The 27,719-nt window shown below is 36.8% G+C and overlaps 2 protein-coding genes across 14 annotated transcripts in view; one reads left to right on the top strand and one right to left on the bottom strand.

Annotated features, from left to right (window-relative positions):
* Positions 1 to 21,484, top strand: part of PIK3R4 (phosphoinositide-3-kinase regulatory subunit 4) — a 67,896-nt gene extending 46,412 nt beyond the window's left edge. Inside the window, exons 14-20 of the mRNA NM_014602.3 lie at positions 9,764 to 9,928; positions 13,996 to 14,207; positions 16,037 to 16,168; positions 18,827 to 18,927; positions 19,353 to 19,441; positions 19,697 to 19,805; positions 20,933 to 21,484. Coding sequence (NP_055417.1) covers positions 9,764 to 9,928; positions 13,996 to 14,207; positions 16,037 to 16,168; positions 18,827 to 18,927; positions 19,353 to 19,441; positions 19,697 to 19,805; positions 20,933 to 21,103 — 979 coding nt within the window. The 3' untranslated portion in view covers positions 21,104 to 21,484. The remainder of the gene's footprint in view (positions 1 to 9,763; positions 9,929 to 13,995; positions 14,208 to 16,036; positions 16,169 to 18,826; positions 18,928 to 19,352; positions 19,442 to 19,696; positions 19,806 to 20,932) is intronic.
* Positions 23,376 to 27,719, bottom strand: part of COL6A6 (collagen type VI alpha 6 chain) — a 160,323-nt gene continuing 155,979 nt past the window's right edge. For 12 of the 13 annotated variants that reach the window (XM_017005713.3, XM_017005711.3, XM_011512426.4 and 9 more), the window contains one exon: positions 23,376 to 25,216. In XM_017005713.3, the coding sequence (XP_016861202.1) occupies positions 25,021 to 25,216 (196 nt within the window). In that variant the 3' untranslated portion in view covers positions 23,376 to 25,020. The remainder of the gene's footprint in view (positions 25,217 to 27,719) is intronic. The other variant, XR_924103.3, reaches the window with a different exon arrangement.

Raw genomic sequence — 27,719 nt, 5'->3', positions numbered from 1 at the left:
TTCTGGCTCATTCAGCTTCTCAATTTTAGGGGAGATGGATGCATTTGGTATTCGTTGAAATTGGGGTGGTAGTAAAATATCTAAATGGAGTTCTATCACAGTGAAAACTTAAAACAATATGAGCAGTACAAAAGAAAGTTGTCAATGTTAGGGTTACATGTTTTGGAGTCACTGGTAGTGTTGAAAGTCAGCGTTTTTGAGTGGCTATGAAGTAAAGGGAATATGAAGGGCAACAAAAGCCTGATGTCTGAATCTTAGGAAGTTAAATTTTTGGAACAGGAAGAGAGGGGCAAGAAAGGGAAAGAGAAGAAACCATTTAAGTTAATATTATAAACTACAATGAAAGAGAAAACTTATGAAAAGAATATGTAGGCCTCTCTCAGTGAGACAAAAACCCTACTAGCATGAAAACCTCATAATGCCATTGATGCACTCTCATATAGTGCCCTCTGGTGGAATGCAATTGATACCTCTTTCCTGGAGGTTTTTTTACAATATATGTATCACAAGCCTTTATGATGTACATATCCTAAGGAAGTAACTAAGAATCAACTCAGATTTAGTTTCAAGACTGTTCAGATTGACTTTCTTTATAATAGCAAAAAATTAGGAGCAAACTAAAAGTTCAGCAGCAGTTATCAATGAAAAACATTGATAATTGTGTTTTTTAAAATTAGGTTTAAGAAAAGCATATGGGGTTTCTATTTTGGAATGGCAGAGTAAGGACCTCCAAAAATCTGTTCCTCCATAAAGCAATGAGAATACTGGCAAAGACTGTCAAAGTCAATTTTCTGAGAACTTTGGAAATCAGCTAACACCTTTCAGCAATCTAAAGTGGATTCAAGAAAAACACCTGACTCTCAGTAAGAATAGTGAGCCATGTCGTCCTTAACTTACTGTAATCTTATCCCCCTTTACCAGCTCTGTGGTAGTCTGGAAAAACAGCCTCACAACTATGGTAGTTATGAAAACTAGCCCCTTAGTAGACAGTGGAGGGGTCATAATGGCATTGGAGCTCCCCAAAAGCACATCTCCAGAGAATTGTCACTATTTGACCTCTGTGCCAGCTGGCTGAAAAGTTCTGTTTTCAGGGCCCATCTTTATTTGACTTGGCCCATACCTTGTTCTTTGAGAAAACTCTTACTCACAGGGCACTTGTTGAAACTAATCAGCACCATTTATTTAACATAGCAGTCATCTTGAGGTGGCATCAGCAGGCTGACAGAAAGCTTAAAAGGAAGAACTGGGTAATGAGATGTCCATATGGGCCTTTGAAAAGTTTTGATCTATTCTTGGGTCCTTATAAGACCACATGTATGTGTAGAGTTGTGCACATACCCAGGAAGAAACTGAAAAGACCAAATTCTCATGTCTGGCTGGCTTTGAGACTCTGTGCAAGCAAGAACTGAAGGCTAAAGCAGAGATGTAAAATGCTTGATGGAGTGTTGAAGGTGTGCCACAACACAAACAAAACCCTCACTTAATTGTTCAAGGCATTGAAAGAAATACCTGCCAGTTATTAGGTGATCACTTACCTAACTGAACAGAGACTTCAGTGGCCACATATGACAAGGAATACAGACTTTATAGAATTAGTGGAGGAAAGTCATTAAACAAATAGCAACACTTTGGAATCTTATTTCCAAAATTGACACGTTATATTAATTTTGAATGCACAGTTTTGAACAAAAGATTACAAGTTAGGCAAAGAAACAAGTAAGGATGGCTTATACCTAGGAAAAAACCTTACTAGACATAGATTTTAAATCAGCTATTAAAAATATGTGCAAAGAACTAAAACCATGTCTAAATATTTAAAGGAAAGTATGAGAACAGTGTCTAACCAAATAGACAATATCAATAAAGAGATAGAAATCATAAAATAGAAATTCTGGAACTGAAAAGTATAATAACAGAAAATTTGCTGGAGAACTTCAATAGCAGATTTCCACTGATAAGAGCAAAAAATCAGAGAATTTGAAGATGGTTGGTATTATCCAGTCAGAGGTACAAAGAAGAAAAGAATAAAGAAAAATGAATAGAGCCTTAGAGACCTGTGGTGCACTATCAAGCATTCTCACACATGCATAATAAAAGTTCCAGTAGGAGAGGAGAGAGAAAAGGGGACAGAAAGAATATTTGAAGAAATAATGGCTGAGAACTTTTCATGTTTGATGGAAAACATTAATCTGCACACCCAAGAATTCAATGAATTCTAAATAGGACAAAATCAAGGGAGCCATACCTGGACACATCATAAACTGTTGGAAGACAAAGACAGAATTTTGAAAGCAGAGAGAGAAAAGTGACTCATCACATACAAGGGATGTTCTATAAAATTAACAGTTGATTTTTAAGTCAGAAATGATAGAGGCCAGAAGTCAGTGTGTTGAAAGGAAAAGACTGTCAACCAATAATTCTGTGGCAGTAAAATTGTCCTTCAGAAACCAAGGAGAAATTAAGAATTTCAAGATAAATAAAAAGAGGGAATTTATTGCCAGCAGATTTTCCCTAAAAGAAATACTAAAGGGAGTCCTTTATGCTGAAATGAAAGAATATGATACAGTAACTTCAATCCATATAAAGAGATGAAGAGCACCAGTAAAGATAACATAAGTAAATATAAAAGTACAAATTATTTTTGTTTGTAACTCTTTTTACCTGCTATCTGATTTTGAAAGATGACTGCATGAAGAGATAATTAGAAGACTGTGTCAATGGGCTTATGACATGTAGATATGTAATTTGTATGACAATAGTTATACATATGAGGGAGGAGGGAAGAGACATATTAGAGCAAAGTTTTTATGTATTACTGAAATTAAGTTGGTATTAATTTGATTATTTTAAGGTGTTCATTGTATTCTCAGAGCAATCACAACTTATAAATGTAATCACAAGGCAGAGTTGGTAGAAGGGGTGAAAAAACATGATCCAACTGTATGCTATGTATGATAGACACACTTTAGATTTAAAGACATAAATAGACTGAAAGTAAAAGAATTGAAAAGATAAACCATGCAAATAGTACCTAAGAAAGAGCTAGGCCATGCGCAGTGGCTCATGCCTGTAATCCCAAGCACTTTGGGAGGCTGAGGCGGTGGATCACCTGAGATCAGGAGTTCGAGACTAGCCTGGCCAACATGGCAAAACCATGACTCTACTAAAAATACAAAAAAATTTTGCCAGGCGTGGTGGCACACGCCTGTAGTCCCAGCTACTCGGGAGGCTGAGGTGGGAGAACTGCTTGAACCCGGGAGGTGGGGGTTGCACTGAGCTGAGATTTGCCACTGCACTGCAGCTTGGGTGACAGAGCAAGACTCCGTCTCAAAAAAAAAAAAAAAAAAAAAAAAAGCTGGAGTGGCCAATGTCAGATAGAACATAAACTTTAAGGCAAAAATTACTCCTAGAGACAACCAAGGAGATTTTATAATGGTAAAAGGATCAGTTCATCAGGAAGACATAACAATTACAAACATACTTAACAGCAGAGCCCCAAAAACACACTAAGCAAAAACCGATAGAATTGAAGGGAAAAATAGATAATTCAGTTATAATAGTGGGAGCCTTTAATAGCTTATTTTCAAGATGGATAGAACAACTAAGCATAAGATCAGCAAAGAAATAGAAAATGTGAGCAACACTACAAACCAACCAGATTTAACAGGTATCAGTAGAATACTCCACTCAGGAACAGCAGAATTTAAATCTTCCTTAAGTGTACATGTAATCTTTTCTATATTTAACCATATATTAGGTCACAAAACAAACCTCAATAAGTTTAAAAGGATTGAAAGCATATGAAGTATGTTTGTTAACCAAATTGGAATGAAACTAGGTATCAGTAACAGAAGGGAAGTTAGGAAATTCTGAAATACATGGAGATTAAACAACATATGGCTAAATACCCAGCGTTTCAAAGGGAAATTAGAAAATACTTTGAGATGAATAAAAATGGGAACAGCATACTAAAACTTGGATAATGCATCTAGAGGAGTACTAAAAGGGAAATTTATCACTGTAAACATTTATATTAAAAAAGAAGAAAGATCCCAAATTAGTAATTTAACCCTAACCTTAAGAAACTAGAAGAAGAGCAAACTTAAAGCAAGTAGAAAGGAATGATAAAGACTGAAGAGGAAATAAATGAAATAGAGAATAGAAAAAAAAAAATCAGCAAAAGTAGAAATTGGTTGTTTGTAAAGATAAACAAAATTGGCACACCTTTACTATAGTGATCAATAAAAAGGGAGGACTCAAGTTACTAAAAACAGGAATTGAAGGGGGCACATTACTACTGACTTGACAGAAATAAAAAAAGAGTACTATGAAAGGAATACCATGAACAATTGTATGCCAGCAAATTAGATAACCTAGGTGAAATGGATGAATTCCTAGAAAGACACAAGCTGCTGAAAATGACTAAAGAAGAAATATAAAATCTGAATAGATCTATAATAATAAAGAAATTAGTAATCAAAAAACCTCCCACAAAGCCCTGGCTGAGATAGCTTTATGGTGTATTCTACCAAAGGTTTAAAGAATTACAATAGTTCTCCATTATGTGTGGAAGAGACAATCCAAGACCCCTAGTGGATGTCCCAAACCTCGGATAGTACCAAACCTTATGTATACTGTGGTTTTTGTTATGTGTACATATCTATGATAAAGTTTAGTTTATAAATTAGGCACAGTAAGAGATCAACAACACTAATAGAACAGTTACAATAATATATTTTAATAAAAGTTATGTGAATAGAGTCTCTATCTCTCAAAATGTCTTACTGTTCTGTACTCACCCTTCTTGTGATTATCAATCTCATAACTGGGACAGCTACTAAGTGACTGACTGATCAACTAGCAGGTAATGTCTTCAGCTGGATAAAGGAATGATTAAAGTCCTGGGCAGGAGGGAACAGGACAGTGTGAGATTTTATCACACTACTCAGAATGGTGCACAGTTCAAAACTTATGAATTGTTTATTCTGGAATTTCCATTTAATATTTTCTGACTGCGGTTGACCACAGGTAACTGAAACTAGGGAAAGTGAAACTGTGGATAAGAAGAGACTAATGTAACATCCATTCTTCAAAAAGTCTTCCAAAAAATAAATGAGGGAACACTTCTTAACTCATCCTTTGAGGCAGATGTCAATCTGATACCACAGCCAGATAAACAGTTCACAAGAAAGCTGTAGACCAATACCCATAATTAATATAGGTGTAAAAATCTACCACAAAATAATAGTAAACTAAATCCAACATGTAAAAAATAATATCATGACCAAGTACAATTTTTCTTAGGAATATAAGGTTGGTTCAACACATGAAAATCAATTAATGAATGTACCATATTAATAGAATAAAGGGTAAAGACCAAATGGTCATCTCAACAAACTCTCAGAAAGTATTTGACAAAGTCCAGTATCATTTTATGATTATAACCAACTCAACAAACCAGTTAGTAATAGAAAATGAATAAAGGCCATCTACAACAAAAAACCCTACAGCTAACATTGTACTTAATGTTAAAAGATTGAAAGCTTTCCCCCTAAGATGAAGAGTTAGACAAGAATGTCCACTTTTGCCACTTATTTGAATACTGTACTGGAGGTTCTAGCCAGGACATTTGGGTAAGAAGAAGAAATTGAAGGCATACAAATTGGAAAGGAGAAAGTAAAACTTTCTGTTAGTAGCCAGCATGATCATGTATATGGAGAATTAGCAATAATTAAACAATAATTGTTTTAAAAACTTACTAGAACTAATAAGTTCAACAAAGTTGCAGAATACAAGATGAATATATAAAAATCACTTGCATTTCTTTATGGTAGCAATGAATAGTCCAAACATGAATTTAAGAAACCATCCATTTACAGTAGTATCAAAATGAACAAAATACTTGGGAATAAATTTTACACAAGAAAGTATAAGATTTGTATACTGAAAAATACTAAAGATCATTGAAAGAAATTAAAGAAGACTCAAATGAATAGAAAGAAACCCCATGTTCATGCAGTGGAATACTTAATATCATTAAGATGGCAGATCTCTCGATGTACAGATGCGATGCCATCTCTATGGAATTTCTAGCTGCCTTTTTTTTTTCCCTGAAATCGATGATCTGATCCTAAAATCCATAAAGAATTACAAGAGACTCAGAATAACCAAAACAATATTGAAAGAAAAGAACCAAATTGAAGGACTCACACTTCTGTATTTCAAAACTTGCTACAAAGCTACAGTAAATTAAGACAGTGTAGTACGGGTATAAGGATAGACATATAGATCATGTCTATGTCTATGTCTGTGTCATATATTCATGGTATAGAACTGACATGCAGAAGTACATTTATGGTCATTTTTTTTTTGACAGAGGTGTCAGGATATTTCAGTTGGGAAAAGAATGGCCTTTAGAACAAGCAGTGCTGGGATTATAGGATTTCCGCATGGAAAAAGATGAATTTCAGTAGACTTATTCAAAATGGATCATAGACTAAATGTAAGAACTAAAACCATAAAACTTAGAAGAAAACATAGGCATGTAAATCTTCATGACCATGGATTAGGCAAGGATTTCTGAGAAATTACGTGAAAAACACAAGTAACAAAGGAAAAAATAGACAAATGGGACTTCATCAATGTTATAAACCTTTGTGCTTCGAAGGACTCTATCAAGAAAGTGAAAAGACAATCCACAGAATGGGAGAAATAACATATATCATATATCTGATAAAGATCTATTATTTAAAATGTATAAAGAACACTTACAACTCAACAATAAAAAGACAAATGACCCAATTAAAAAGCAAATGATGTGAATAGATGTTTCTCCAAATAGGACCAATAAGCGCATGAAAAGATGCTTCTTAGTCACTAGAGAAATGTAAATCAAAACCACAGTGAGATACTCCTTCACACCCACTACAATGGCTATAGTAAAAAAGGCAGTGACCAGTGTTAGGATGTAGATAAATTGAAAGCTTTATACATTGCTGGTGAGAATGTAAAAACAGTGCAGTAACTTTGGAAAACAGTTTGGTAGCCTTTCAAAACGGTAGACATAGAGTTACCATATGACCCTATGATTCCATTCCTAGCTATATACCCAAGACAGTTGAAAACATATGTTCACACAAAAATCTGTACACAAATGTTCATAGCAGCATTATTCATAATAGCCAAAAAATGGAAATTATGATAAAATGTGGTATATCTATACAGTTGAAAACCAGCCATAAAACGGAATGAAGTACTGCTACATGCTATAATGTGAGTAAACCTTGAAAACAGTATGCTAAGTGAAAGTAGCCAGATCCAAAGGCCACATATTGTATGATTTCATTTATATTAAGTATTCAGATAGATAAATCCATAGAGACACAAAGTAGATTAGTAATTGCCAGGTGCTGGGGGAAGGGAGCATTGGGAAGAGACAGCTAATGGATACAGGGTTTCTTTTGGGTATGCTGAAAATGTTCTGGAATTAGATAATGGTGATAGTTGTAAAATGTGGTGACTTTGTAAACCCCTTTAAAAGGGTAAATTTGGTGATATGTGAATTATATGTCAATATTAAAAGAGATGGGGAGAGAAAGCCTAAGTGTGTGTGAGAGACCAAGCATATTGGCACTCCCATCTCTGCCATTGCTTGTCACTGGCTGTCTTTACTCATTTACAGTACTGATTGGGCCCCTGTGGGGCCCCTGTGGGCATTGTGTTTGAGACATTTGTCCACACAAAGACTTATACACAAATATTTATAGCAGCGTTATTCATAATAGCCAAAAGGTGGAAATGACTCACATGTTTATCAGCAGATGAATGGATAAGCAAAATGTGATGTAGCCATACAGTGGAATAATATTAAGCCTAAAAATGAATGAGGTATTACATACCACACCATAAACTTTGACATTATGTTATGTGAAAGAAGCTTGATATAAAAGACCACACAATGTATGACTGTATTTATATGAAATGTCCAGAACAGGGAAATTCATAGAAAATAAAGTTGATTAGTTGTTGCCAGAGGCTAGGGAGAGGGGGAAATAAGGAATGAATGCTAATGGGTATGAGGACAGCTTATTTTTTGATTTCTTATAATTAATAAAAATGGCCTGGAATTACTGGTGATCTTTGCAGAATTCTGTTAATATACTAAAAATCATTGAATTATGCACTTTAAAATCTATGGTATTTGAAAATCATTTCAGCAAAGCTGTTATTAAGAAAAACAACTAGGCCAGGTGTGGTGGCTCACACCTGTAATCCCAGCACTTTGGGAGGCTGAGGCAGGCGGATCACTAGGTTGGGAGATCGAGACCATTCTGGCTAACATGGTGAAACCCTGCCTCTATTAAAAATACAAAAAAATTAGCTGGGTGTGGTGGTGGGCGCCTGTAGTCCCAACTACTCAGGAGGCTGAGTCAGGAGAATGGCCTGAACCCAGGAGGCAGAGCTTGTGGTGAGCCCAGATCGCACCACTGCACTCCAGCCTGGGTGACAGAGTGAGACTCTGTCTCAGAAAAAAAAAAAAAAAAAAAAAAACTAGAGAGAGATACTGATAAAATATATGAAATATTACAGATTTTTTTAAAAAAAACAAGTGTGAATGTATTGTAATATGTATAGAAAACCTTTTGAAGGATATGTAACAAAATGTTAAGTGTTTCTGGGTGGTATTATAAATGTTTTTACATTTCTGTATTTAGTACACTTAATATGCATTAACTTTTATAATAAAGTGAAATAAATTACACAAGATAGATGAATGTGTTCGGTGTTCAGGGGCTTTTGACCTTTTAGAGGTATGGCCCCTTAGAAGCGTAAAGTTGCAGTCTGTGTGGAGAGTAATGGAGGAGGGAGTTGGTGATAATGGAGGTCCCCTGTGTAGATGATATATTCAAGAAGTTTGGCAGTGAATTCAAAGAGAGTAGAAAACACAGCTTGAGAGGTCAGCATATGTGTGGGAGAGACTGAATATTATAATTTTGCATTTATGAATGTTTTATGGTTTACATATTACCTGATTTTCCCTATGGTCCGGTTAGGGAAATAGGTCAGTACTTGTTTTGTAGATGAGTAAACTGAGGCATACAACTGGTTAAGTAGCTTGACCAACATCATATAAGTAGTTGGTAGTAGAAGTCCGTGATTCCAAAGCCAATGCTTTTCCTTCTGTGCCAAGCTGTGTGATAGAATAACTGAAGGGTATAAGAGTGAGGGTTTAAGATATTCCAGGAGTTGAAGAAGATAGGATCAGGACCACAAGTATGGGAGTTCTCATTAGAAAAGAGTTCAAAACCAGCCTGGGCAACATGGCGAAACCCCATCTCTACAAAAAATTAGCCAGGCATGGTGATGCACGCCTGTAGTCACAGCTGCCAGGGTAGCTGAGGTGGGAGGATCACTTGAGCCCAGGAGGTCGAGGCTGCAGTAAGCTGTGATCGCACCACTGGCCACTACACTCCAGCCTGGCAACAGAGTGAGACCCTGTCTCAGAAAAAAAAAAAAAAAAAAAGAGGAGAAGGAGGGGTAGTCTATGATAGAGAGAAGTGTGTGCAGATGGCCATTTGAAAATATCGGAAGAAAAGGCAATTTTTGTAACAGTTCTTTTGAGAGGAAATTCTTGTTTTTGTCCTGAGATCAGGGAGATTAAATGGACCCCAAAGTAATAATTTTGCTTGCTAATGGCCATGTGGATATTTAACATTAGCAGTGACATTGGTTCATAAATGAATTTTATTTTTCTTTCATTCAGATCTATTCTTACATACAGCCGAATTGGAGGACGAGTCAAGACGCTCACATTCTGCCAAGGCTCCCACTATTTAGCCATAGCATCTGATAATGGTGCTGTCCAGCTTCTTGGAATTGAGGCTTCTAAGCTGCCCAAGTCTCCTAAAATCCATCCTCTACAAAGCAGGTATCTTATCTTTTGTCTTTCTTAAACATTGTATTTAGTGCACTACAGTACCTTAAGTCTCCTTTCTACCCTGCAATGTAGTTGGGATCAACTAAGGGCCTCTTACATTGCACTTCTTTTTTTAAGCCCATAAAATAAATAAATAAATAAATAAAATTTTAAAAATGTGCTTCCAGCTCAAAACTGTCAAATGTGGTTAGTCTCAGAAGATGGTATCTATGTATCTTATCTTCTGCAAACTTGTCAAGAGGTCAAAGGGGCAGCTTTGAACTTGCAGCTCATCCCAGTCTAGAATTTGTCTGAATAACCTAAAATTACCAGTTATATCTTCTGTCTCAGCTACTAAAAACACAACTCTGCCTGATTTTGAGAATGTGAGTGTTCTTCATTAAGGAAAACTCAAATGTCAGCATTCTGTTGCTTGGCATTAAAATCTCTGAAGTTGATGGGGACATGGAGAAGAGCATTTAGACAGATGATTTGCTTATCATTTTAAAACAAAATAGCGGTGGTTTTATTTAAGAATGTTTATTTTTTATAAATTGTGGTTGCTTGCAGATTAAATGCATACAAGGTAAGATATTTAAAGACAAAGCAGAACAATTTTTGACCAATATGTGTTACACACTGAAGATTTCAAAGACAAGATATGTTATGCTTTAAGAATCTACAGTCTAGTGGAAGAAATAGACAAGTGAACAGACAATTTCAGTGCAATGTGGTAATTTTTACATGGATAACAGGAGCCAGCTTGAAAGGGAAGACAACAGGCAAGACCAGGTGTGAGTTAGCCAGGTGAAGCAAGGTGGTTAAGAAGGGCCAGGTGGAGGTGGTGGACCCCACAGAAGAAAGCAAAATGAGGAGTTGTTTAGTGGATGATAAGCCATGGCCATTAGGTAGCTTAAGGCAGAAAGGGATATTTGTTGGGTCACCTGGGCTTTTGTTTTGTTTTGTTTTGCTTTTTGCATTTAAAAAGATTTTCCACACATTCATTGAACAGATTTAAGCAGCTTTTGTCCAGGACATATTCTTTATGGCCTTTAATAACAAATACCAGCCTATTTTTAAGAAAGTCTGTTTCCGCAGATGATGTCTGTATAGTAACATATCTATTGAGTTTCATGTAAATTATTTAATAACTTGGCATAGTGCACTGTGTGATGACTGAGCCCACAGGCCCTACACGCAGACAGACATGCACATTCAGTGCACGGTTGTCTCTCAGCCAATGGCACTTTTCACTGTAAATGTTACTGTCTTAAAGCAAACACTAGATAACTACCTAACTACCTAGGTAAGGAGACAGGCAGGATGTTTAGCTTTTACTCTGCCTCACAGTGTGTGCTTCAAAGAAACTTTGCCATAAGGTCATAAGTTTTTGATTGTTTTGGTTATATCAACTGTTCTCATAGATAGCTCTTACTAATTAGAATTTGTGGAAGGAACCATTTTACATTTTAGTTGGCAGTTGGATTTTTTCATCACTCCTCAATGGGAAAATATGGTCAAAATTAGAATATTTGTAAGTACAAGTGTTTATCCAAGGGTTAGCAGACTACAGCTTGCAGTATGGTCCATAAAATAAGAATGATGTTTGCATTTTTAAAGGGTTGCAAAATAAAAATAATATTCAACAGGAATGTATGTGATTCACAAAGCCTAAAATATTTACAATCTGACTCCTTATAGATGATGTTTGCTGACCTCTGATCTAAAAGATAAAACTAAAACTGCCTGTATGAATGCATGATATGTGTGAATAAAGGAGACTGGCCAATGTTTTATGATGTTCTTTTTAGTTTTAAAAATGCCTCAGCTTCAAAAAAAAACTAGTACACTTATATAGTAGAATAATAATCTGCATTATAAAGGAATGAGTTATTGACTCATGCAACAACATTGATGAATCTTAAATGCATTTTGCTAATTAACCCACTTAACTGTATACCACAAAAAGTGAATTTAAATGTATGTAAAATTTAAAAAGTTAACCAGGATGTAAGGGGAAAGATGGAATGCAGTCTGTGACAAATTAATCTGTTTTACAAGTGAATCACATAATCACATTGAAGGGCATGGCGAATAAAGGAGTAACTTTGGAAAACAGTTTTTGAATTTGACACTGGGAGGCTAATGACAAAAGGAACTCAACTCAAACGTTGTATTCTAGTTGGTTGTTTTTCACAGGGTTAACAATTTCATTTTAGCAGTTTCAGGTTTAACAATTCTGAAACTTTACCCTTCGTTTATATATTCAGGTTGAACAAATAAGTAAATGTATTGTAGTTATGAGAGCCAGGTTTGTCACTGTTAGAGAAAGGTATTACAGATGAATGAACTCTGGTGCTAGATAGGAGTTGGAGATTATCAGTATGGACTCATGATATTTGTGTATGCATAGGCATAAATATATACATGTATACAAACACACGAACAGATGCAGAAATATAGATGTGTCCACATGCCTGAAGTAGTATACATAATATATCTTTTAGCTCTGGCCATTGAGAGGAACTAGAAGCAGGCACACTGCCGTAGCAATGAACACATAGGGCTTAGATTTTTGTTTCTAAATACCATTCTTCAATAAAAGGAACTAGTACTTCTAGAACTGGTTGATTCCAGGTGTGTGGGAAAAATAAAACAAGCCTGGAGCATCTTGTGGTGTCAAAAAATTAGGAAGTATTTAAAAAAGTACATTGAAAGGGCACAAGAGCTAACATGAAAGAGCTTCCAGTGGGCAAAGTTGGAACAACTTGGGCAACAAAATAAATAATTGTAGTATTAGATTGTAACTCAAAGAATAAAATAAATATCTGTGAATCCATAGTGGTATAAATAAGTGAATAAATAAGTTTATGGGGAAGAAGTGACAACTTACAGAAGAATCCCAGTCAACTAATGTAGAAGGACTGAGGGAAACAAAAAGTCACCATTAGCTTACCACAGGCATGCTCCCTCAAATGGATGTTAAAATTAGTGGGCCAAAGTTAAAGCAGAAACTGAATTTTTGCATTGTCTCAAAGTATTTTTGCCAAATATTGAGTAATTATAAAGGGAAAAAATGTTTACAATGGAGAATCCTAGCAGACACCAGCTTAATTCACATGATTCAAGTTAACATCATAAGTGATTCAGGTTAAACATTTCTAATCTGAAAATCCAAAATGCTCCAAAAACTGTAAGTTTTCGAATGCTAATATGATGTCACAAGTGAAAAATTCCACACCTGACTTTATGGGACAGTTTGCAGTTAAAACTTTGTCTCATGCACAAAAGTATTTTGTACAAAATTACCATCAGGCTAGGTGTATAAGGTATATATGAAACAAATGAATTTCATGTTTAGACTTGTGTCCCATTCCCAAGATACCTCATTATGTATATGCAAATGTTTCATGCTAAAAAAAAAAAAAAACCCAAATCTGAAACAGTTGTGGTTGTGAGCATTTTGGCTAAGTGATAATTAACCTGTACATGCTAACATCCGGTCCTCCCTCACATGATGCACTGAGAAGGGCACATCACTTCTGTGGTATCTTTCCCAATAAGGCATAATTTCAGGATAATAATGAGAAAACATCAAACAAACCCAAATTGAGGAACATTCTCTAAAATAACCAGTAGTCTTCAAAAATATCAAGGTCATGAAAGACTGAGGAACTGTCACAGATTGGAAGAAATTTAATATTGCCCTGTATTATCCTGGATTGGATCCTGGAATAGTAAAAGGACACTATTGGGAAAACTGATAAAATCAGAACACGTTCTGTACTCTAATTACTAGTATTATAGCAAGGTTAATTTCTTAGTTTTGATAAATGTTCTATGGTTATATAAGTTGTTTACCTAAGGGGAAGCTTGAGTGAAGGATATACAGCAACTCTACTATTTTTGCAATTCTTCTCTACATCTGGAATTTTTTTAATGTGTCGGCTTTCGTTTTCTTGATAGAGTCACATAGCTCTGGTTTCTTGACTATGGATAGGATATAAAGTCATCTTAAAGGGAGACTAGTGCTATGTTTTCAGTGACTGGAAACGTCTGTGCTTTGTGTATTTCTCTAGAATTCTAGATCAGAAGGAGGACGGTTGTGTTGTGGATATGCATCACTTCAACTCTGGAGCACAGTCTGTTCTTGCCTATGCCACTGTGAATGGCTCTCTGGTTGGCTGGGACCTTAGGTCTTCAAGCAATGCGTGGACTTTAAAGCATGATTTAAAGTCGGGCCTCATCACTTCCTTTGCTGTGGACATCCACCAATGCTGGCTCTGCATTGGTAAGCTAACTTTCAAGTCATTGGCTGGGTTTTGAATGCCACTAATGCCTGCAATTGCTGTCTTGTGAAATCAGTTTTTTCCTCTTTGTTCATTGGTAATTTTTCCCGTCTTTTTTTTTTTTCATAGTCATGTTAAAATAACTTGCAATTTTATTTTTTTTTCATTAAAAAACAGGTTTGAAAGGGTGGAATCAGTATCCTAAGGCATAAAACAGTTTCCTCATTGTCCTTGTTCTTAAATGAGCCTCCTTACTTTATAATCATTAAGTGATCAGATTTGCTGGCATTCTCTTACTCTGGCAGTGAAGCAGCAGACTTAAGGAAAATAGCATCCAAGTTTGGGCAGGCATGGTTTAAATTCCAATAGCTTTAGGCAGGTTATTTAACTCCTCTGAGGTTCAGCTATCTTCATCTTCAAATGGGGCTAATCCTTTCAAGGGCAGCTTTGAGGATTTAATGAAGTAAAAGGATCTGTCACAGTGCCTGTTGTTGAGAGAAGAGCTAAGCAATGGTTTCTTACTTTATTGTTTGCCTTGTCTCCAAAGGCTAAAGATGAACCAAGTGATCCAGCTTGCTTAAGCAGGATTTTAAAAAATGTATTGTTGCATGATATTCCATTTTATAGATAACAATTTGTGTATCCCTCTATCCCTCAGTTGATGGATAGCTGAGTTGTTTCTAGTGTTTGGCTTTTCAGAGTCAACCTGCTGTAAATATTTGCAAATAAGTCTTTGTAAGGACATATATTTCCATTAATCTCAGGCATATATATACCCAAGAATGGGATTGCTGCTTTTGTAAAATTTCTTTTTTGACAAACAATTGTATATATTTATTGGGTACAGTGTGTGATGTTTTGATACATGTATTAATTGTGGGATGATTAAATCAAACTAACAAATCTATCACCTTACCTACTTATTTGCTATGAAAACATTTAAAATTTACTCTTGGCAACTTTGAAATATACACTGTATTATAATCACCATTCTCTGCAGTAGATCACTAAAGCTAATTCCTCCTAACTGAAACTTTGTACTCTTTGATCAACATTTCCCCTTTTCCCATCTGCCCCTTTCTTAAGTTTCGCGTTTTTCCCTCATGGTGTTTTGAACCTGCCGCTTGAGAAACTACCACCTTATTCTTTTTTGGTTGGCATGCTTATTCAGAGAGTTATCTTCTGTGCTTGAATTTAGGTTTTCTAGATTCCCTAACTCATATTTGTTACACTGTTAAGTGTGTGCCCTTTGCTTTATTACTTTTTATGTAGTTTATATGGAATGCATTTTTTTTGCCTTTTGTGTGAATAAACTGCACAGGGATAGAAAGATGTAACATACCTGTCTATAGAATGTTTAAGAGGGAAGGGCAAATGGAAACAATTGAAATCTGATGATAGCTACAAAGCTGCTGCTACTTTGGGATTGGTAAAGTGATCATTGAATACCAGTAAAACATCTTTGGGTATTTAAGGCAATCTGAACATTTTGACTTACCAAATTCATTTTGTATCTTCTCAATAGCTTCTGTTTTTGTGGGTGCCTTCGGCAATTAATAACAATGTCAGCAACTAATAAATTATTCATTTTCAATTTACATTATTAGTAGTAGCATTATGATAAGCACTTTATATCTCAGTTATTTATCAACCAAAGGGGTATTGTTTGAAAATGGTGAGACAGCTTCATGAGAACAAAACTTTTTTTTAAGTAACGAAGGCATTTTTCAAATAAATTCATAAAAAGCTAATACTATTTTTCATTTGTATAAATGCAGCTTGATGCACTTTGATCATTAGATGGTAATCTTTTTTTCCTTTTTTCTTTAAGGTACAAGCAGTGGTACCATGGCTTGTTGGGACATGAGGTTCCAGTTGCCAATTTCAAGTCACTGTCATCCTTCCAGGGCTCGAATCAGACGCCTCTCAATGCACCCTCTGTATCAGTCCTGGGTGATTGCAGGTAAGATGGAGGGCTGGCTTTCATGTGTTGGGAGATTTTCTTGGAAAGTACATAATAACCTGTTGCCAAAACTCATGTTTTTAGTTTTATTTTACATATGAACTGAATGCTTGATTGTCTTCTGATTATGGAGGTTGCCACTATTGATACCTCACTGTCATCTATGTTCAAAAATGATCTCATCAGTCACCATCATTACTCCATTCTTAACTGTCCACCACCATCTCCTATCCCTTTTTTCTTCTTCCTGTGTCCCCTATTTTTGTTACAGCTGCCACCATCTTCCTAGAGAGCTAAGTTAGAAACCTTGACTCATCCTTCTTTGTTGCAATTTCTTGTTGCTCTGCTTCCTTTGTGTTGCTTGAAAGCTTCCCTTCCCTTCCTTCATTGGGCACCCAAATTTTCTTTTATGGCTCCTGGGCATGATACTTGGGCAAGTCTTGAAACTGATTTTCCTCATCTTTAATACGTAGTTAAAAATACTTACCTTGTAGAGTTATAGGGAACTGAGATAAAACATGCAAAATACATACTCTAGCACACAACTAATGCTTGATAAATAATAGCTCTTATTATTCTTAGGTTTTCCCCTCAGCCCTCTTGCCTCTAGGCTCTTTGTGGTCCCTTCTTGTACACATAGTCCATCGCATACACTGCTGCTATCAAAGTCACCGTGTTGCCAAGTTCTAAGGCTATTACTGTGAGCCCTTTTCTTATTTGACTTATCATTTGATCAGTTGATTTCTGTTATTTTCAAATACTTTCCTTACCTGGTTTCAAGGACATTTCTCTTGGTTCTCCTACTTCTTGATCTGCTCGTTCCTTCTCATCTTCCTGGCTTTTAAATTGTGGCCTGCCTCAGGACCCAGTCTTTGGTCTCAACCACTTCTCCTACACTGGCTCTGTGTTTGATCTCATGCAGTCTCATGCTTTAACTACTAAATTTATTCAGACTCATACCTATTTAAAATCTCTCTTAAGATGTCTAATAGCCATTGTAAACTCAACATGTCTAACTAAAATGAATGCTTGATTTCCTCTCTACTAAATGTCTCCACCACTGCCTCCTACCCTGCTCTTCCTATGGTATTCTTTCAGTAAATGGCAGCTAGGTGCTCAGAAGCCTGGAATTATCCTCGACTGCTCTTTTTCTCATCCCACTTCCAGTCCATTAGCCAGTCCTGTAAGTTCTATTTTAAAGTATAGCCAGAATTTGATCACTCTTCACTACCTCCATCACTATCTCCCTAGTCCAAACCACTATAATCTCTTTCCCCTATTAATGTAATATCTTCTTCACAGCCTGCTTCTGTCTGTACCTCTTAAGACCATTTTTTTCTTCTGCTCAGTACCTTCCATTGGCTTCTTGGTCCAAAAGACTTTATGGGACCGGCCTTCTTGCCACCTCTCTGACCCTTATCACCTACAATTCTAACAGGAAACAGTAGCACACTCAAGGTAGGATAATTTAAGAATTTATTTTCAAATAAAATTGTTTACAAAGGTTTGGGTGTAGGGGGTATTAAAAAAGATAGCACAGTAATATGGGCTGGTAACAGCAGAGTAGCAGTAGAAGGCATGAGGGGAGGAGGGCATGGTTACTGAATTTGGGAAGGAGTAGAGAAGGCCACCTTGAAAGGAGCAGTGACTGTGAGATGAGGGATACAACCAGCCTGATATGAATGACTTGACTTTCTTCCCTCCCTCCCTTTGATCTCCTGCTGCGGTTTCCCATAGGCAAGTATTAGTTTCCTATTACATCACAACTTATTTTTTTAATAATTCTAGAGGCCAGAAGTCTGAAATGGGTTTTGTGGACCAAAATCAAGGTAGCAGCAGACTTGTATTCCCTCTGGAGGCACTAGGGGAACATCTATTTCCTTGCCTTTTCCTGCTTCTAGAACCAAATTCCTTGGCTCCTTCTTTCATCTTCAGAGCCAGCAACATAGCATCTTGTTTCATTGTTATACTGCTTTCTGTTCTTGCTGCCAAATCTGCCTCCCTCGCCTAAGGAGATTTGTGATTACATGTAGGGCCCCCTGAGTAATCCAGAATAATCTGTCTCAAGGTCCTTAATTTCATCACATCTGCAAAGTCACTTTGCCACATAAGGTACCATTCACAGGTTCCAGGGGATAGGACTTGGATACCTTTGGGGCCATTATTTAGCCTACCACAGGCTGGCGGACCCAGCCAGAGGGAGTACAGAAGCTTGTTGATGTGGTTCATTCAGGTCAGATTTAGAGCAGCAAATGGAAAATGACCAGCATTACTGCCCTTTCTCCTACTTATCTCCCATTCTCAGTCTGTTCCTGCCACACTGACTTGTTTTTTCAACTAAGCACACTCCTGCTTCAGAAGGGCCTTTGCATTTTTGTCTGTTGTCCCCACTAAAATGGAAGTTCCATGAAACTGGGAATTTTTCTGCTTTGTTTGCCATCTCTTCTTCAGTGCCTAGCGCAGTGACTAGCCCATAGTAAAAATATTTACTATATTTACTGGCTCAGTAAATATTATTAAGTGAATATTATATTGTCTCTCCCCCTGAAAGAAAGAAAGAAATTTTTCTTTCTTTCTCTCAGGACTGCAATTTGTTTTGTTGTAATCTTCTCCAACTCTTTTTGTCTGAGTCAAGATTCTGGCCTTTGTTTCCTTTAGCTGTTCAGGGCAACAACGAAGTGTCCATGTGGGACATGGAGACTGGTGACAGAAGATTTACTCTCTGGGCCAGCAGTGCACCACCACTTTCTGAATTACAGGTTTGACTTCAGTTTTTACTGTAAAGGATGATATTATTCCCCACATCCTAAGTACTTTCAGGCATTTAATCAAACCTAGTATCTGTTGGGCTTTTGGGTTATGTTTAAATTTGGGTTTTTAATAACATCAAGTATCATGTGGCCATTGCTACATGAGTGTTTCCTTGCTAGTGTTCTGCATTATTGGGTAAATAAGTTGCTAGCCCATAAAGCTTGTGATGTCTCTTTGGAACCCCAATAAGATCTAGCATAATTAGGAAAAGGCCAGATTGAAGTAGATAGGGCATACATAACTGGTCTCTCATTTCTTCAGTTAACCAGGTGCTTGTAAAGCTACTGACAGTTAACTTGCCTCTAGAAATAGCACTATCATTTATGGAATACACGGATGTCTTTTATTTGACTCCACATCTATTTCTTTTAAGCCTTCTCCTCATAGCGTCCATGGTATCTACTGTAGTCCTGCAGATGGAAATCCTATCCTACTAACAGCTGGCTCAGATATGAAAATAAGGTACACTATCTCAATACTTTAATAAAATGGATACTTTTACAAGCTGTTATTATAGATACTGATGGCACTGTAATGTTTAAAATCATCTTATAAGGACAGCTGTTAATACTTTATTTGTAACCAATGGTATGCTGTTCTATGAAAACCTCTTTTCCTAATGCAAAAGAAAAAATGCATTGATGAAGATAAGCCAATGATTATTAGTTCCTCCCATTGTCCTGAAGAGATTGTCATCATTTATTTCCTCTTTCCTAGGTTTTGGGACTTGGCTTACCCAGAAAGGTCCTATGTTGTTGCAGGAAGTACTAGTTCCCCATCTGTGTCCTACTACAGGAAAATAATTGAAGGCACTGAAGTTGTCCAGGTACTGTAGTCTTTTCATTCCTTTCACCTTTTGTAAGCACAAACATGGCTTTTGTAAACAGAATTGATTAAAATAAATGGCTTGACCAAGCGAGGAGTACTTTGAATTTAGGAAATTTATTTTTTCTTGAATTTTCTGTATTTAAAAAAATTAACTTTTATTAAGGTAAAATAAGCATAAAGAAAGTGCATATAAGTAATAGCTCAAATGACCAGTATGTACTTTATAACATCGTAAGGAAGCACTTTTATTATCCTCTTACAAATGAAAAAGGCACAGTGAAGTTAAGTAACTTGTTCAAGGTCACACAGCTAGTAAACAGAAAGCTGGGATTTAAACCTGGCTTTGGGACTGTAAAGTTTGTATTCTTGACTCAGGCAAAAACTTCAAGTGAGAATATACCTTTAGCACCTGGGCCAAAGTAGGTGCTCTGTAAATGAAAGTGTGCTTCCTTCATGACAAATATTAATGAGCTTTAGAAGTGGTAGAATATCTGCTATGTATTTTTTATATTTTGGTCATTTATACCTCTTTTTTTTTTTTTTTTTTTTTGAGATGGAGTCTTGCTGGAGTGCAGTGGCACGATCTCTGCTCACTGCATCCTCTGCCTCCCAGGTTAAGCGATTCTCCTGCCTCAGCCTCCTGAGGAGCTGGGACTACAGGTGCACGCCACCACACCCTGCTAATTTTTGTATTTTTAGTAGAGACGGGGTTTCACCATGTTGGCCAGGATGGTCTTGATCTCCTGACCTTGTGATCCACCCGCCTTGGCCTCCCAAAGTGCTGGGATTATAGGCGTGACCCACCGCGCCTGGCCTATACATCTTTTAATTATATTCTATCCCTTTTTTCTTTTGATGTTGGCAAAAGTTAATATGCACAGAATATTGACCTAAGATAAGTTTTCCATAGTTATAAGTGGCTACTCATGAAATCCAATGACTAGGACCCTAGAATGTCATTTTGGCTCCTCTACTCCTTTTGCTCAATGTATTCGTGAAAGCATGACTACAAAAGGTGTTAACTTAAATACAACAACAGTATCTCAGAAGCAGGACTACTGACGAGAGGAAAAATGTGGTACAGACTTTTAACCTCTGGCTTGCTCCCTTTTAATCACCAAACAGGAAATTCAGAATAAGCAGAAAGTAGGACCAAGTGATGACACCCCTCGAAGGGGCCCAGAGTCCCTGCCCGTGGGACATCATGACATCATCACTGATGTCGCCACATTCCAGACCACACAGGGCTTCATCGTAACTGCTTCTAGAGATGGGATTGTGAAGGTGTGGAAATAAAACCTACTGATTTGTATAAATTTTAATAGTTATAAATATAATACTATAACTCGAGAAAAGGCATTTCTAGAGAACAGATTCATTTGCTTAATTTTCAAAATTATGTCTCCATATTACTGTTTCATGACTGACTGACTAAATGACACCCAAAATGGTTAAGATGTACTTGACTAGTTTACTTATGCATCTCTTTGCAAGAATCAGCCAGCCAACAATGTCTGGGATTTTTATTGTATATGTTATAGAGGTGAGAAATGTAAAATATGAAAATGAATATGTTTATTTTGTATTGAAAAAGATGGTTGAAAAGATGGTTGTAAGCTATTATAGTATAAACACATTTTTGCTATTAAAAATGCTATTCAAAGCAGTTAAACTGTATTCATGCATCCTAAGAGTTTGTGGTTTTGGTGGTATTTTTAAATGGTAAATTTAAGCAGAGGAATAATCCCTCCATTAAGCAGAGGAATAATCTCTCCAGCAGCATTTGTTCTAAGGTGAAGAAATGGAGTCCATGTCACAAGGAATCAGTGACAGAACCAGGTGTTAGGTCCAAATCTCTGGACTCTAAATATTGTGCTCTTTCTGCTCTAATATTTCCTGTGTGTTTTACAGTCTGTCTTATTAGTTATTTATTTAACACTGTAGAATTGATTTCCTGCATATTAGTTATACAAGTGTGCCTCCTCTTGGCCATCATTATTTTTTATGGGCTGTACCATAAATTCTGACACTTGGCCCAACAGGTTGCTTTTATCCAGTATAGACTATTGAATGCATGAAAAAGAAAAAAGTACACCAAAAATATACATTTTTAAAAGGCCAAAATTGGTCTTTTCCACTAAGATAAAACCCTTCAAGGTTATGGATTACTATTTGCATACAGACTCCGTATTTAATTCATATCCACTTGCAGAAGGATTTATGGTATTCAGAATATTTTAGTTTAAAATTAGTTACATGAGTCTGTAAAAATCTCAGCCAAGGGAAAAGCCTACTTGCTTAGAAATACTGTAAGAATTTTCTATATTTTTATAATTATATGATTAAGTTACAGTACATATAGTTTACGAAGCATATATCTAGTTTCATGATTCAATACAATCATCCCTAGGTATCTCTGGGGCATTGGTTCCAGGACCTCCCAAGGATAACAAAACCCACAGATGCTCTAGTCTCTTACATAAAATGACGTTGTATTTGCATATAATCTACACACATCTTCTCATATACTTCAAATTATTTCTAGGTCACTTGCGATACATAATACACTGTAAATGCTAAATAGTTGTTATACTCTATTGTTTAGAGAATGAAAAGAAAAATGTCTGTACATGTTCAGTACAGACACAACCATCCTTCTTTTTCTGAATATTTTTTATCCACGGTTGAATTCATGGATGTGGAACACCCACAGATACAGAGCCAACTGTACTTAGTTTTTAGACAGGTAAACAACAAAACTGTCAGAAAATGCCAGTCGTTCAGAAATGTCAAAGTTAGGAATGATGGACTAACTAGGCCTGATAGCTTAGTGGATTGGTAGAAATTGCAAATTTGGCATTGTCATGTTGCCTTGGCTTTGTTTCCCTTAATGTCTGCTAAGACCATATTTACAGGGTTTCTAGCTACTAAGTCAGATTTAGAGTCTCCAAGGGGGTTGGGGAAAATTTTTTTTGCTATATAAACTGTAATGCTGAGATTGGACTTCAGCCTGGAGCCATTAGATAGATAAGCTGTAAGACTGATAAATATGGGAAGTGCTAAGAAAAAAAAATGGAGTGGGCTGACAGAGATATGATCCTTTTCTCCCCTTATCTCCTGCTACCACCCATTCTTCTCTGTCCCCTTGCCCCACAGAAAAGCCCCAGTTTTAAAAAAAAGTTATTTGGTTGAATTCTAAGTATTACAATCTGATGCCGTGTTAAGTTGCATCTCCTTTTGACCTCTACTTAAAAAAAAAAAGTTTGATTCATAGCTCAGTGCAGAGATAATGGGAGGCAGTTCCTTTACAGTCGATTAATTCACATTTTTAAACCAAGAAGCATCCTGGCTTGTGTGATTCTTGGGTTAAATATAGCTTTATTAAATTTATATTCAACTTAATTTTTGCTGTTTCCACTTTTAGGAGAAAGAGGTAAATCAGGGAAAATACTAATATTAGGGATTTTTAAAAAGGAACTTCTATTTGCAGCATGCTTTAGAGCTCTCACCTATTAGTGATTCAAAAGATGGCCCAAAATACTAAAAATAATCTGTCACCAAGGGAATATTTGTTTTATGTTCTTTACTTGCCAATGCAGAAAAACAGACAAATACATCTTAATGGTATTTCCAACAATTAACAAAAGAAAGGAGTTCGTGCTTAACTCAGAGTTAACTAGAAAAATCCCTTTTATTAAAATACATTGTAAATATTGCTCATTAATTTCCTGTACTTGAAACATTTTTTCTGAACCCCTAAGCACCACTTAGGATAGATGAAGCAAACCTGATGTGTTTTATTCTTCTCTATTACCTGAGTATGAATGTGACATTTAACTCCTTGAACTTCTTGCTCCTCTGAAGACATGAGGTGCTATCACTGGATTTCTCTAAGTAAGAATAGCAGAAGTCGTTTTAAAAAAATACTGCAGATAGTTTTTCTTTCCAAATTTTATGAAAATAGGTATAGGAAAGAAAATCTGAATGTCCTTGGTGTCAGTATCCATCTGCTCCATGCATCCAGGCAGGGCTTCTTTCCATTCCCAAAGAGGGGGACAGTCTGCCTAACAGGGCCATTGCTACCAACTGTGGAGCCAGCTCTTAGACTGAGGTAAGGTCTGAACATTGGGTGTTTCGTTGTTGAAAATATCAGCCCTATCATAAAAACAAAAATGCAGATGAGGACACAGCCATCAATACTTTTATAAAACCTTTCCTACTTTAACTTACTCTGATCTCTTTTGCATCTCTGCAACTGCATATGAATTTGTAGATTAAAACAATGATTTTCTTACATTTTTCTAAACTCAGTGTGTATTTAAGGCTGTTTTTAAGAGCTCTGCTAATCCTGTTTTGGTGCTGTTTATTATTGACTAAACAGCTACCTGATGGGTAAAAGTAACTCAGAGCTTCATCTATGACAAGTAGTTTCTTGACTCTCCTTGTCTAAAGAATATATGGATTAGTGAAAATTAATAAATGACCATAACAGGAAAGACAGACTAGAAGTCCATCAAAATGGGGGCTTCAAGCTCCATCAAAATGGCAGTAAGCTTCCTAATGAAGAGAAAACTTCCAGCTCAAAAGCAATAATTTATGTTCTGCGGGAATTAATGAGTTTTTCAGTGAGTTCAGGAGGATTTAGAGATGGAGAAAATTACCCTCTTCTCATCAGTCCAAGCAAACAACTCCCACAGTGGTGTGTTTAAGTGGAATAGAAGGTCACGTTTTAAAAAAATACGACATATAAACAGCATCCATTTCTAGGATAAATTTTGGAGTAGCTTAAAACATTAAAAAATAACTTTGACTAAATAGATGAGCATTAGACATTACTAAATTAGGAAAGGAGGATGGGTTTGCAGAAAATGAACTGGACAGAGATAAAAGAATTAACATTGACCCATGTACACATATGCATACATCATATAAATTTTACCTTCAAATTATATCTCCATTAGACTTTTCAAAACACTTCTTTCATTCTTCTGTCTTCTAATGAAACAGTTCTTCGACATATCAGTCGTAGAGTGCTGGAATTGTCAGGAGTGGTCAAATAAATGAACAAGATATATCTTAATACCAATGAATGCAGGGGGTCAAGTCACCTGATAACCTACAAACTGTTGCTTGAGTTCTGGCAGCAGATTTAGTTACTATTTAAGTCCAGAGTCTTACCATGCTTCCTAAGGCTAAGTTGTTCAAGCATTTTTTTAATCATGTTGTTTGGGAGCACTTTCTATCATCCTTCCATTCTTAAAGGTATGGGAGGTGCTTCTCATAAAATTTTGAATAGCATCATCTCTGCCACTTCTTGCTACTCTTGAAAGATATTTTTTATCTTGAAAGAATTTTGCCTTCTGTAATACATCTTCTTTGAGGGTAGCTTTAAGTGGTCCAGGAACAAAGCTATACAACAAAAGAGAACATCATAGAAGATAAATGCCATTTCAACTTTAATAGACTACATATTAATCTGTCATAGTAAATTAATTGTTTCACCCATTTCCTTGTTGCAGCCTTCCTCCAGGGTAATTTTAAAATTAAACTGGGTACTTAAACTGGCTCATATATCAGAAGCTGACAAATGATACATCTCATCAAAGTATGCAAAAGTATTACTTCAGCAGCAAAGTTTCTTCATGGAATATGTACCACTCATTTCTACCTATGGTTGGTTCTTCTGATTGTTTAGATTTGGGTTCAAATGGTACCTCATCACAGACCACCATATCTATAGTTTTCCCAGATCCACTCCTACTTACAGTCCCTCAGCACATCATGCTATTTTCTTTATAACACTTGGCACTATCTGAACTTTTATTTACCTGTAAACTTCCTTATGATCTGTTCCTCACTTTTCCACCCAACCAGACAGAAGGTTCATGAGATCTTGTCTGTTCACTATAGTAATCCCAGGAACCTAAAAGTGCTTAACACATAGCAGTCACTCAATAAGTATTTGTCTAATGAAAGCATGAATGTATGCCATTCCCTTATTTCATCTCTTCCTTTCTTCCATAGGTCCATCCATCCATATGTTTACTATCTGCTTAATAGAAGGCACGGTGTTAGGTACAATGGGGGACATAGAAATAGAGCCCAGTCTGGCAGGCACAGAAAGAGCCTGGCTGGGAATCATGAGTAACCCAACAGTAAAGAGGAGCTGGAGTCAGACTCTGGAAGGGCTTGCAGGACAGGTTGAGAAATCAGGGAATCATAGAAGCCAAGTGCTAAGTAGAACTTAGAGCCTGTCTGAAAAAACCTCTGCTGACAGAAGTGTCCTAGAATCTGTACTACCTATATGGCAGCCATGAGCCACATGAGGCTTTTGAGCACTTGAAATGTAGTGTGACTGAGGAACTGAAATTTAATTTTAATTAACCACATATAGCTGGTGGCTACTGTATTGGCCAGTACAAAAAAGGAGCCATTTCAGACAATCGTATTTTACAGGGATGTTGTGGAAAGAGTTTTGGGTTCAAACACATTCTTCACATTTTAATATTCTAGCCCCTAGCCGAGCAGCTTTGGGCAAATCATTTAACTAGAGTGACCCTTGTTTCTTCAGGTGTAAAATGGGAATGAAAAATAACTTCTGTTGTTGTGAGCAACAACTGAAGTCCCCTAGACTAGTTGTATATATATTTATTTGAGACAGGGTCTCACTCTGTCTCCCAGGCTGGAGTGCAGTGTTGCCATCATAGCTTACTGCAGCCCAGATCTCCTGGGCTCAAGTGATCTTCCTGCCTCAGCCTCCCGAATGGCTGGGACTACAGGTATGTGCCTCCACACCTGGCTAATTGTTTTATTTTTGGAGAGCTGAGGTCTCACTATGTTGCCCAAGCTGGTCTTGAACTCCTGGGGTCAAACAGTCTTCTTGCCTTGGCCTCCCAAAGTGCTTGGATTACAGGAGTTAGCCACCCATGTACCATCCCAGCATTTCCTTATTATCTTGCAGAGTGAACATTATAAACTCAAATTCCCCAAAGTGACGATTGTATGCATAGAACATTGGCTCCACTGATATGGGAAGGGCATTCTTTTGAGTCTGAAGCACGCTGTTTTCATGGTCTTACCTTTACTGGACTCTTCCCTAGCCCCTTCACGCTGCGTCCCCCTACCCCGCACCTCTCCCCACCTCCCCGCCTTTTCCGTTAGGTCCTTTGTTTTCTTTTATGGCAGGTTTAGTTACTGTTACCTTTCTTCCCATCTTTGTTACGAAAAAATTGTTAAATTAGTAAGTGCTTATATAGCATGATATTGCTATATTTTTTCCCCTCTCAAATATTTTTATTCTCAAAAGGTTGAACATTAATACCATATCTTTGAATTTCCGTTTTTCACTATGTTATATGTAGGAGTTTGCACTTGGGTTTTGTTTTTTTTTTTTGTTTTTTTTGTTTTTTTTGTTTTTTTGTTTTTTTTTTTTGAGATAGAGTCTTGCTCTGTCGCCCAGGCTGGAGTGCAGTGGCACGATCTCGGCTCACTGCAACCTCTGCCTCCCGGGTTCAAGCAATTCTTCTACCTCAGCCTCGTGAGTAGCTGGGATTACAGGCACCCACCACCACACCCAACTAATTTTTTTTTTTTTTTTTTTGAGATGGTGTCTTGCTCTGTTGCCAGGCTGGAGGTGCAGTGGCATGATCCCGGCTTACTGCAACCTTTGCCCCCCCGGGTTTCGAGTGATTCTCCTGCCTCAGCCTCCCAAGTAGCTGGGACTACAGGTGTGTGCCACCACGCCCAGCTAATTTTTGTATTTTTAGTAGGGATGGGGTTTCACCATGTTGGCCAGGATGGTTTTGATTTCTTGACCTCCTGATCCACCCGACTCAGCCTCCCAAAGTGCTGGGATTACAGGTGTGAGCCGCCACACCCGGCAATAATCACTTAATAAAAATCATTTGGGCCG

This window comes from Homo sapiens, chromosome 3 (genome assembly GCF_000001405.40).
Source record: "Homo sapiens chromosome 3, GRCh38.p14 Primary Assembly".
NCBI classification, from domain to species: domain Eukaryota; kingdom Metazoa; phylum Chordata; class Mammalia; order Primates; family Hominidae; genus Homo; species Homo sapiens.
The sequence above is the reverse complement of the archived record's forward strand: the minus strand, read 5'-3'. Positions and strand labels throughout refer to the sequence as shown.